The sequence below is a fragment of the Homo sapiens genome, chromosome 18 (genome assembly GCF_000001405.40).
Source record: "Homo sapiens chromosome 18, GRCh38.p14 Primary Assembly".
Lineage (NCBI taxonomy): Eukaryota > Metazoa > Chordata > Mammalia > Primates > Hominidae > Homo > Homo sapiens.
Genome location: NC_000018.10, coordinates 13,540,388 through 13,552,465, shown reverse-complemented (window position 1 = coordinate 13,552,465; position 12,078 = coordinate 13,540,388). Strand labels below are relative to the sequence as shown.

The 12,078-nt window shown below is 50.1% G+C and overlaps 1 protein-coding gene across 48 annotated transcripts in view, besides 4 other annotated features; it reads right to left on the bottom strand.

Annotated features, from left to right (window-relative positions):
- LDLRAD4 (low density lipoprotein receptor class A domain containing 4) overlaps positions 1-12,078 on the bottom strand; it is a 435,073-nt gene that overhangs the window by 100,289 nt on the left and 322,706 nt on the right. The window lies entirely within an intron of this gene.
- Positions 1,707-2,208: an enhancer, noted in NCBI's record as "H3K4me1 hESC enhancer chr18:13550257-13550758 (GRCh37/hg19 assembly coordinates)". NCBI's record gives its function as "activates a minimal SCP1, AML or CMV promoter by ChIP-STARR-seq in primed H9 embryonic stem cells {active_cell/tissue: H9 hESC(primed)}" and the evidence as "EXISTENCE:reporter gene assay evidence [ECO:0000049][PMID:30033119]".
- Positions 3,472-4,421: an enhancer, noted in NCBI's record as "H3K4me1 hESC enhancer chr18:13548044-13548993 (GRCh37/hg19 assembly coordinates)". NCBI's record gives its function as "activates a minimal SCP1, AML or CMV promoter by ChIP-STARR-seq in naive H9 embryonic stem cells {active_cell/tissue: H9 hESC(naive)}" and the evidence as "EXISTENCE:reporter gene assay evidence [ECO:0000049][PMID:30033119]".
- Positions 9,533-10,054: an enhancer, noted in NCBI's record as "H3K4me1 hESC enhancer chr18:13542411-13542932 (GRCh37/hg19 assembly coordinates)". NCBI's record gives its function as "activates a minimal SCP1, AML or CMV promoter by ChIP-STARR-seq in primed H9 embryonic stem cells {active_cell/tissue: H9 hESC(primed)}" and the evidence as "EXISTENCE:reporter gene assay evidence [ECO:0000049][PMID:30033119]".
- Positions 10,055-10,578: an enhancer, noted in NCBI's record as "H3K4me1 hESC enhancer chr18:13541887-13542410 (GRCh37/hg19 assembly coordinates)". NCBI's record gives its function as "activates a minimal SCP1, AML or CMV promoter by ChIP-STARR-seq in primed H9 embryonic stem cells {active_cell/tissue: H9 hESC(primed)}" and the evidence as "EXISTENCE:reporter gene assay evidence [ECO:0000049][PMID:30033119]".

The window sequence follows — 12,078 nt, the reverse complement described above, 5'->3', positions numbered from 1 at the left end:
AAGATGCATAAGCCCAGGTCTAGAGATAGTGCACTGTCCTTCCAGGTCCAGCTAAGGCAGAGGAGATCGGGAGGCATAAAACGTAAGTGCCTTGAAAGAAGTGACATGCAGGCATGCCTTCCAGCAGCCCTGGGATTCGATGACATCAGTAGCAATCTGTCTGCACTGCCCCAGCAAGTAGGAAGCACGGTGTCGTGGAAAGGGCTGGTGGACAGTTTAAAGGATGCAGATGCTCAACCTGGCTGGCCGCTGGGAGCTGCAGGCCTAGGTGGTCACTGCACCCCACTGTGCCTCACATTGTTCACACTACTGATATGGTCTGGATGTCTGTCTCCTCCAAATCTCATGTGAAATGAGATCCTCTGTGTTGGAAGTGGGGCCTAGTGGGGGGTGTCTGGGTCATGCAGTGGGTCCCTCGTGGCTTGGTGCCCTCCCTGCAGTAATGAGCTCACAGGATATCTGGTTATTAAAGCTACTGGAACCTCCCTGTCACCCTCTTGCTCCCCATCCTGCCATGTGACACACTGGCTCCCCTTTGCCTTATGCCATGAGTGGAAGCTTCCTGAGGCCTCCCCAGAAACAGATGCTGGCACCATACTTCTTGTACAGCCTGCAGAACCATGAGCCCAATAAACCTCTTTTCTTTATAAATTACCCAACCTCAGGTATTCCTTTGTAGCAGTGCAAAAAGAACGAACACCTGCTCACTTGATAGGCCCATATTCATGGCAGGTCAGGGTCTTCTCAGCCCATGTCTGCAACTGGTTTCCCCCAAATTCCCTCTGTTTCTCTCCCTGGCAGAGGACCCTCCTCTGTCCCTGTTGGCCGCCCTCCTACCCCACCATGGCACACTCTGTGATGCCATCCTGTCTGCTCAGTAACTCCCCCCAGTTCTACGGAGTTTTGGCTACTCTTCATCTATCCTGTCTTTTCTCTCTTTCTGCAAACCAGAGCTCTCAGAGTACCTCCTTGCTCTCAGCTTTATCACACGTGCCCTGGGACAGCCGAGGCCTCGGCAGCCTGGCAGGATTCACTCTTTGCTCTGTGTCAACAAGCAGTTCTGGCCCACAAGCATGGGCCAAATGAGCCTGTGCACAGACTAAAAACAAAACAGATCCTCGGTAGGACACACAACAGGAGCACTTAATCAAGATGTCTCTACAAGGTGGCCCTGATAGGAAGGTCAGCACAGCTGTCCCAGGGTTGTGGGGGACCCTCGCTGCTGCTCTGTCGGAAAGGCCCCCACATTGCTGAGGGTGGGAAGAAAGAGGGTTGCTGTTGGCACCCGATGACACTATTTTGCTCGTGGCCGTTGGAGGTGAAGTCAAACAGTGGGTCCTGAGGCGAGTTAGGAAGTGGCACTGGCCGTAGGGGTGTAATTTAGAGATGCATAGAAAATTGCTGGGGAGGCACACGGAAGATAAGAAGGGCCCAGTGCTCTGCTATCCCCCAGAGGCAGAGGTCAAGCCCCTGGGCTGGGTGATGAGAATGAGCACAGAGGGGGCATGACTGGAGGGTGGTGTGGCCAGCCATCTCTGCCCACGGTGACAGCATCTGTACTCATAGGAGGGGGCCCAAGGGAGGCAAAGAATGGGACATCCCAAACAGAAGTCGGCCCTGCCTGCTCGCAGAGGAAGGGACTTGGAGCCAGGTTCTGGACACCACTCACAGCGGGACTCGGACTTGGAGTCTCGCTCTTCCCAGGCTCTCTCCACCGCCCCTAGATCTGGATGGCCGGAGGGCTGTCAGCCAGGCCCCTCTCATCTTCCTCGGCTTACGTTTTGGCAGGGGCCAGCTCCCAAGGCTGCCATTTCCTAAACCCACTGTGGAAGGCTGCTCGGCGGGACTCATCGTCTTGATGGCATCAACATCGCCAGCACTCATGCCTTGAGCCTTCCTCCTGGCCGTCCTCAGGGACGCCTTCTCATTCTCACAGCATGTGTTTATGATGTAAGCCGTCCAGACACCCTCTAGCCCCTCGAGCTTTGACTTATTCCGAGCCCTCTGCAGCTCCCAGTATTACGTCTCTCCACAGACCCATGACAGGTTCAAGAATTTTGTTTTCATCCATCATAATTTGCGTAACACCAACCAGTTGAAGGTTTTTTTCCTATGCTAGCTTTCCCTCCACAGAAATGAAACAATTCTGTGAATGAAACCATTTGCCTATTACATGTGAAGTGTGTGTCTGTCAGCTCAGGGCTCTGTGTTTTTATATTCCTCATGAAGCTGCCCCTTATTCTCCCTCCAAGACCACTATAACATTTTGGTGGAACCCTTTTCCATGATAGAACTTACATTGTCATGTTGTGGTAATCTGTTTTCAAGTCTTATGTTAAGTAGATAGTAAGCCCATTGCCCCCTTGTAGACAGCAACTGTGTCTGCTTTCTTCCTGTGTGGGCACGTGGCCAATGCTCCAAGAAAGAAAAACGTTGCTGGATTAAAATATGCTAGTCGGATGATGGCAGCAGTTCAGAAGAATCCACGAGGCAGAATTATCATCTCCATTATACAGAAGAAATGCAGCTCAGAGAAATGAAGACTCTTGCCCAAGTTTCCCTGGCTTCTAAAGCGGTGGTGCCTGAATTTGAACCTAGTTCTGTTTGATGGCAAAATTGCCTTCTTGACCTGTCTGCTGCTGGCTTCCCCAGAAAAAACAAGGAAGCAAGACAACCAAATGCCAGAAGCTTTAAAATTGGACAGACTAAAATAAGGCTGCCCCAGCTGCATAGGGTGCTGCTGGTCTACGGCACACATGGTCCAGCCAGGGCTAATTTTAACTCTTTGTCTGTTCTCTAAGTTTCCTCCCTCTTCCAGCAGAACCCACTGTCCTCTGCTCTTGGTAGCCACGGCCTTTCTATGTTTCACGCTCACAGCTCAGACACTCAGATTCAGTTCCCTTTTTCAGACAATGTTAAAACACAATTATAGATCTGTTCTCCCATTAAAATGCCTCCGTGAATAAAATAAACTGAACAGAACCGTCTGGTCTTCCTGGGCCCTTTCCCAGAAGCACCTGATGGACATCCCCAGTACCTTCCATGGGCAGCACCCCAGCTGGGGACCATGGCAGCTCCACTATCCAGCGTGATTCCTCATCCTTGCACAATCTCACTGTTTCTGAGAAATGAAGACAGCTGTTTTCATTATGGTTTTAGCCTAAACAAAACTCCAACTTCTTATTAAGAATGTTTAATAAAATCAACAGGGCATTTAAACTGCCAGCAGGGAGCTTGGCAAATTACATGCTGGCATGGTGCCTCCCTCTGTGTCTGGATGCAAATATTTCTCATCTTTACACAGCTTTTCTGAAACATCATAATGCCATCTCAACCAGCCCACCCCCACACCACATGCAACTATGACTTTGTGAGGCACACACCAGCATCCATTTGTGACAAAAGCGAAATGCAACTCCCTGTAGAATCAGCTAGGCTAAGTAGCTGTTTGCTTTTGGGGAGCTGAATATTCAAGAAGTTGCTTTAGGACTCATGAAATAATTAATAGATTCCCCATCTTGAGATGGTAAAATGAAAAAAGTATTCCTTGCATTATCCCATCTCATATTTATTAGGTACAAATGATGGCAGCAATGGCCTGTCTAGAATGGCCGCTGCCATGATGCTGGCTGCAGCAGGGGAGGCATGGGTGGGGCCGTGTGCTCCCTGGAGCAGGCAGGAGCCAGGAACAGGTGGGAGCCCTAACCCTTTCCAAGTTGGTGGGGCAGGAGCCCCACTCTCCCAGGCATAGCTGCAGCCCCCCAGCCACAGCTGTGGACATGGGCATCCCTGCACCCCTGGACTCTTGGAGGCCCAGAAACCACCCCGTGCCCCAGCAGGCTTGGAAGTGCCTGCTCCCACTGCCTGGCCTCTCCCCACTCCCAGCACCCACTCCAATTTTGAAGCAAACTTGTGGCTGAGCCCAGGCACTATTACGACCTGACCAGGTGTGCACATACTTGGAGTGGCACTGACATCCCAGCCCCTTGCCCTTGGCCCCTTCTGGACTTTGGGTGCCAACAAGCAGGGGAAGGAGGCCAAGGGGGTGCTGAAAGTGGCTCAGCCTGGGCTTGCAGGCACCCCTTGGCACCAACAGCCTGGGCGCCATGAATGCCATGAACAGCAGCAGGAGGCAGACAGGCTCCTGGGTGGAAAGGGGCAGGTCCCTGGTGACTAACCCCACCTTCTGGCCAGAGTGAGAACTTACGGTGCTTTTTCCAGGCCTGCCAATGGCTGCCTATGGACCAATCAGCATCTACTTCCTCCCTTCTGAAGCCCATAAAACCCCCCAGACTCAGCCAGACTCAGGCAGATGACAAGATGACCTGCCTGCAGAGAGGAGCCACCCACTCTGGGTCTCCTCTCTGCTGAGAGCTGCATTTGTCAGAATGACCTGCCTGTGGATAGGAGCTACCCACCTCGGGACTCATGAGAACTATACTGTCACTCAATAAAGCACCTCTTTGACTTGCTCACCCTCCAGTTGTCTGGGTACCTCGTTCTTCTGGATGCAGGACAAGAACTCAGGACCTACTGAATGGTGGGACTGAAAGAGCTGTAACACAAACAGGCCTGAAACACACCCTCCTGCTTGCCATGTTGTGGGTGACAAGAAGGAGAGAAGAGAGAATGAGAGAAAAGCTGCAGCCCTTTGGGGAGCCCAGACATAGGAGGAGCTCCCTGAGCCAGGGCTGTGACACCCTCTTTGGGGCTCTGCACTTCCTAGCATTTCCAAACTTCTGGGCACCACCATCTTCCCCGGTGTCCACAGTGGAAGCCGCTTGTGGTATGCCTGGTCCAGCCACAGCAAGGAGCTGCCCACCCCATTGCAGACAGCATGCCTGGCCATGTACAGTGGCCACACTCCACGCTCACTCACTCATGCACCCCTCGCCACTCTGCACCTGGCTCGCCCTTGACAGGTGTGGGATCTGGGCCAGGACTGAAAGCCAAGTGCAGCCTGCCAGGTCGAGTGGGCAGAACGAGCCCAGTGGGCCTGAGCAAAACTCAGTCAAAGGTGCCACCGGCTACAAGGTTTCCAGCGGGTGAAGCAACACCCTAAGGATCCTGTGACACTGATACAGCAGACGCACAAAGTTAGACACTGGTGGATCATCTAACAAGTTTAAGACATTGTTTTTACTCTCAAGTAGCTTGTGCAGAAAGTTAATTTTTCAAATAGTTTTAGCTTTCAAAGAAGCCCAGAATCTGTGACTGTAACTTTAAAATCACTGGACCCTAATGGATGCTACTCGAGTAAATGACGAAGTGGTACATTTTCTTCCTTCCTACCTCAAAGGATGACTTAATGGAAATAAAGTCAGTAACAGAAAGCAGGTTAACAAAGGAAGACAGATGCACAATTCTCACTGGCACAAGAGCTCTACTTGTCAACATCGGGGCCCACTGCAATCTTATCTAGCATCAATAAATTTCAAGATGGCAAAAATTACAACAGCTGCGCAGTGTCACCTCACCAGCCAAAATGTCAAATGTTCTCATCTCAAGTGTTGTAAATGAAAAAGAAGGGGACTCCTCTGTCAAGGGAGATCAGTGAAACCCCCTCTCCAAGCCAACTGGCTTTCTGTGTGGCTATTTCATAACCTAACAGAGACACTGCCTTTCTGTGCCGCTTCATCATCTGGCAAGCCCCTCACTGATGTCAGCGACAGAATCCTCAGAGATCACCGCTTTCTCTAAGCTGAGAAAGTGGGGATGGCGGATGGGGGAACCACGTGCCCGACAGCATCAGGCCTAATGAGCTTGCATGAAGTTCCCTGCACACACGGACTACTTTTGTGCCAGGGTACTGAGTAATTCCACCAGTGTTATTCAGTGACATCACATGGCAGTAGTGTGTGGTATTTAAAAAAAAAACCACCCAGGCTGGGTAACATAGCAAGACCCTGTCTCTACAAAAAATGCAAAAATTAGCCAGGCATGGTGGTGCACACCTGTAGTCCCAGGTACTCAGGAGGCTGAGGCAGGAGAATCGCTTGAGCCTGGGAATTTGAGGCTGCTATGAGCTATGATTGCACCACTGCACTCCAGCCTGGGCAACAGGGCAAGACTCTGTCAGGCAAGCAAGAGGGGAGGGGGGAGGGGAGGCCATCTTCAATCTTTTATTGTTGAGCCACTTCAGTTAGACAAATTACTCCCGAGCAGCAGTTAGTGGTGGAGTTGGCCTGCTGGTTCCCCGGCAGAGCTGCTTCACTGAACTCCCCTCCCTTACCCCTTGACCTTCCACTTGATGAGTGACAGCCATTGGGTCCAGGCTGAATGCACCCATCTCTCCATCTGTGAACATAAACCCAGTCCCCTGCCTCAACTGTTGTTGACTTTTACCACCCACTCCCCACCAAGCAGGGGCTAAACCATCTGCCCTAATCCCGAACAGCCTCAGGCTCTCACTTCACAGGTAGGGAACTTAGGTCCAGAGGGGGAAGGTAATGGGCCTGTGATCCCACAGTTATGAACACTGCATCCCGACCCTATCCTTCACTGCTGCTGCTAAGAAACTCCCTCTTGGCTTAGGATTGAGGACAGCTCTGTGACTATGACTTCCCAAATGAAGCCCACTGACTCTCACCTGTTGGGTCCTTCCCAGCCTCCATCCTGCCCCATTGGCTTTCCCTGACTTTTGAGCTGTGGTTACATGTTCCACCCCTGGAAGGCTCCACCCCACTGTGACCTGTGCACAGCAGGCACTGAGTATGCTTGGTGTCATAAATTAGCTTGCTTGGCTCCATAACATCTCCTGTCTCTTTCCTGCCCCGCCAGTTTCCCACCCTCCTCAGTTCCCGCAGCTTGTTTGCAGCTAAGAAACCGCACTGCTCATGGCCGGCTGCTAGAAGAAGGTGTGTGTGTGGAAGAGTAACCAGAGCTACTGCTGGCCTCAGCACAGGACTCCATAAAGGAGAAAGCCATTAGTGGATCCCAGCAGGACAAGACAAGATGACACAGGATGATTCTCTCGCTGGTCAATGGAGGGCCATTGAATTGGTCTTAATCTGCAAACTTCATATTTGATCATTTTCATGTTTTCCCACACTTTAACTAAGGGCTCACCATACATTTTGGTGTTGCCAAAAGGATTCGTTGATATATAACTTGGACATAAAGATCAGAGTCCCCGAGGAGTCCCCTTTGCTTCCCTAGAGTTCTCCAGTTCCAGGCGTCTGCCCTGAACGTGCGCAGCTCAATGATGTGGTCAAAGAGGCTGGGGCTCGGGGAGCAAGATCAAAAACACGCAGCCCTTCAGAGTCCTGGAGCCATCTTCCCAGGTACTCCATCAGCAGCATCCCAGAGATCCCCTGCAATCAGCTGGGCCATCAAGAGGAGGCCACTAACACCACCCCACTCTCTCAGCTGAGGACCTTCTGGGGAGCACCACTGGATAAGGCTAGATTGCGTGGCCGTTAAAACTTTGGGACTGACTTCACACAGTGGATGTTTACATTCTAAGAAAGTTTAATGTATGTTTTCTCTAATAATACTTTCAATTATAAAAGTAATACTTGTTCATTTTAGAAAATTTGGAAAATAAAAGGAGCACATTAAAAAAAAAAAAAAAAAAAAAAGACAAACCATCACCTGCCATGACGTCTAACCTTCTGATGTGCTCCAGGGAGTTGGACCCTTTTTCCTGGCGGCAGCTGAAACGGTTGGACCTAGCCTCTCCTTGGTCTGTGCAAAATCACTATTATAAAGATGGCTTCTGTCTGTCCTCTGAAAGGTGACGGGTGTGTTCGGACTTTAGCTTCACTGTCAACAGGTTGCAGTTAGGTCTACCTGTAAGTTGTCCTCCATTCTAGCCTACTTAAGAGAAAACAGCACAGCTTCGCGAGAGCTCTGTCTCCCACACGAACTCCGCTTTCCCATCCACCATGCAGGCTGCCATCCACAGCAGTCACTGTACCAGGAGCCACTCAAGGTGAGCCAGTCCTGGGCCGACTGATGGGTTGATTTCACAATTTTCTGTCTCCTGAAAACACATCTTTGTACCCATCTTTGTTTTCTTTCTGGGTCTGTAACTGTATTAAGCTCAGGGCTCAATTCCTTCCAGCTTCAAATATTTTCCCTGCCCAGGAGGTGGGGAGGAAAGCACAGCGTCTGCTATTTATGGTGTCAAAGAAGGTTTGTTTATCCTATTAACATAATCAACAGTTGTGCCTCCATGGCACCCTAGACAAGTCCCTGGCCCACTGCAGCACTCTGACGGGGAAATCACACTCCAGGAAAACAGCCCGGAGGCAGAGCAGTGCCTCAGGCAATCAACACGTTTTTCACTAAAGTTTCCCAATCTCATTTCTGAAGGTATTTCTGAAAAGCAGCGTGGCTTCATAGCAGGCCCAGCGATGGAAACCACAATGCCAAGGCTGAAAGCCCAGAAGTGCGGCCTCAGCTTCACGGTGCCTCACCCTGTGTGCACACTGTGTGCATGCATGTGCACGTCCACACGTATGCACGTATGTGGGCCTGCACGTTCGGGGCAGGCCTCGTCCTGGTATCCCCGGGTACATACTCCATGCCAGAGTCTGTGCTGGTTTCCCTCACAGACATCTCTTTGGCTAATCCTCCCAGCAGCCCTGTTGGAGGTAGGGCTCAACAGGTAGCCCCGTTGGCGGTCGTTTTTCCTTATTGGAGAAACTGTGGCTCAGAAAGTTTCACTGACTTTCCCAAGGGCACAGAGGAGATAAAGGGCAGAATCTGGATCAGAGCTAGAGTCTGGCTGACTCCACAGGCCAGCCAAACCCCAAGTCACCAACAAACTCCAGGTGACTCCACCAATCTACCTCTGAGACCTAATGTAAGGCAGACAAAGAAAGTGAAGGTACAAAGATAATCTACAAATGCTTTTAATAGATGAGATGTTAATTTTAACAATAATGCAATCATGTAAATTCTCTCCAGTTGAGAAAGGTATTATTCTTCAATTCAGCTTGTTAAACCTCCTTCAGGATTCTAAAACCTTTTAGACTCTTAAATTGCAGCCTTCCATGTCCCTTGTCCTGCCTCCAGCACACTCTTCAGTAAACAAAAGTCAACAGCACCAGGGCAAAACTAAAGGAAGTGCTGGATGGTCTCAGAATTCAGGATGACAGTACCCGGGAGGCTCGCATGTGTGGGTGCATGCCGTGGCAGGAGAAGGCTGCAGATATAGGATGAAGATGATTTTAGGAACAGGAGCTCAAGACCTCTAGTTCCAGCCCCTTTTAGATCCCGTGGTTGTCCCAGGCCCTAAAGGGCACAAAAAGCTGACTGCTCATTTGTGGGCTTGTTATCCACACCAGATGGCTTTCAGGGGTGGATTTAGATTTAATTGGCCGGACTGAATCAGAAGAACCATGTTAAAGAAATCCTTAGGAAACTTACATGGGTGATCCCTAAATTACCTTCCGAAGAGCCATGCATGCGTCCTCTGGCTGCTCCAGGTGTAAAAAATGCCTGTAAAAAGATGGGACTATGGGCCATATTTACCACGTTTATCCAGAGAGTTGATTCTCCTTAATACCAGGAAACTAGGCAACAGCTGGAAAGGAAAATATCAGAAGGACTTGGAGGGGACACAAGCAGGCAAGGTACCTCTGTCCCTCGGTGCTGCTCACACACGAGTGGCCCCTTCTCTTTGTAAATACAGACACCCAGCAGATCTGTGCTCGAAACAGCCCTCCATGGAAGGGGAGCAAACTACAGGAAAGGGTTTATTTAAAAACACCAAGGACCCAAAAGAAAAACCAGAATGAAGTAAGTGCAGAGGAAAGTGTTCTGAGTGTGTGGAGCACCCACCTCCGCCCGCCCCGCCTCCTTATCTTCTCCCTGGATTCCTGAGGGCTGCCTGGAAGAGGATGAATGTCCACACCTCCCTGGAGGAGCCCACGGTAGGGGACGGGAGGCTGACACATAGAGAGGGCGACACAGTGCACCCAGGACTGTGACAGAAATCCATGCAAAGTGCTGAGGAGAAGCCAGCAGGTTCTGCCTGGAAGGTCGGGGATGGCTTACCAGGGAGGGGACAATCATGAGTCCTAGGCAGGAAAGGTCCTCTGGAGAGAGGAAATGGCACACGCGCAAGCACGGAGGCATGAGGGGCCAGGGTCCTGGAGGACACTGGGCCGGGACAGATCAGACTCCAGGCAAGGAGGGAGATGGCGCCAGACTGTGATCATAAGCTTCACGATGATGCAACAGCCAAATATTTACTGTCTCACAGTGGAGATTAAACAGCCTCTCCATAAAACACACCGGCTTGTTCTCTGCATTGACAGAACTTTTTAAACCATGAACTGATTCCCCAACATAAACTACACAACAGCCAGCTTTATGAAGAGAGCTGCATTGCTGTTATATAAGTAGAACTTGAGTAGAGAGTGACCTTTTTCCTTTTTTAGAATCAGGGTCTTACTCTGTTGCCAGGGCTGGAGTGCGGTGGCATGATCACAGCTCACTGCAACCTTCAACTCCTGGGCTCAAGGGATCCTCCCACCCCAGCCTCCCCAGTAGCTGGGACCATAGACATGTACCACCACACCCCACTAATTTTTTTGGGCTATATTTGTAGAGACAACATCTCACTATGTTGTCCAGGCTGGTCTCGAACTTCTGGCCTTAAGCTATCCTCCTGGCTTTAAGCTATCCTCCTGGCTTGGTCTCCCAAAGTGCTGGGATCACAAGTGTGAGCCACCACGCCTGGCGGTCTTTTTCATATATTACTCTCAGTGTGCTAAACTCCTCACACCAGGGAAGGTCCAAAGGTCATCCACACCTTCCTGATTTAGAGAGCATTTCTGAACACTGTGATTCAGAAGGGTGTCCGGAGGCATCTCAGAGGCAGTAAGTATTTTAATTATTAGTAGAAACGTGCAGAGTGCAGAACACCAGAACCAACAGTCTTTCTATGAGAAAGACCAGTTCTAGTCTCCACATGCTCATGTCTCACAAAGGAAGCTGGGACTCCCACCACCTGAGGAGACCACTCTTCACACTGTTCTTCCAGTAATCTCGGTACACACACCCAAGTGTGCACACCCTTTTGCATATATGAGCAAATGCTTCTCACTGATTGTTTTCCACTGAACAGTATAGAGTGAATTTCCTTCTGTAATTTCTTTAACCAAGTCCCTATTGTTGGCACTGGTTAATGTCAGTCCAAGTTTTCAGTATTATAATAAGCAACTTAAAGTGGACCACGCATTTCACTGCTGCAATGAGTGTCCTTGAATAGTTATTGTTGTCATTGGTCTAAACTGCTGAGGAGATTGGTCTGCACATTTTACATTTTGTTGCGTTTTCCTCCAATGTCTTCCAAAATGGCAGCACCAATTTATACCCCGGTGAGAGTGCCTTGCGGGGTCGGGCTGGCTTTGGAGGTGTGTGTGGGCCTCTGAGGGTTGCCACAGCTCTGCAGACTCTGTCTTGGAAACTAGAATGCAGCAGCCCCCAGGGGCCTCAACACTCAAGGTTTCCACCTCCACCTCCACTCAGGGACCGCTGGCAGTGCCTGCAGGAAGGGGCAGGGCTGGCTCTGCTCAGTGCCCACATGAAGGTGCCCACAGGCTCCAAAGAACCCCAGCAAGCAGGCAAGTTGCCCAGCAAGCCCAGAAGTGAGACAGGAAGAAAAACACGGTCGAGACACCCAGAACCTTCCATCTTATAACTGTTATCAGCAGACACTGATTCTCTGGGCATTTCACACCAGATCTTGCTTCTGACACGCTGTAACTAACATGCGTGGAATTTCCCTCAAATTACCTTTCCTACTGCTCATTATAATCGGAAGCAATTTATAATGTTCCTGTGAATTGCCTTGGACAGATTATTTTCCAGCCAGCAGATGTTGAAGCAGACTAATAAATAACCACTGACGAACCCCCACGGAACTCTCTGAAAAGGCTGTAAATATATTTAACAACCCCCAGCATAAACACATCTCCAGCTCTCCACCAGGATTGAATACCTTTCAGAAACTATTATGGATGTACCTGAAGAAGAAGAAGAAAAAAAGGTTATATAGGATGCATTTGGAATGCCCATTTCTTCCAGAAAAAAAATATGAGTCCCAGCATTTCCTGTTTCCTT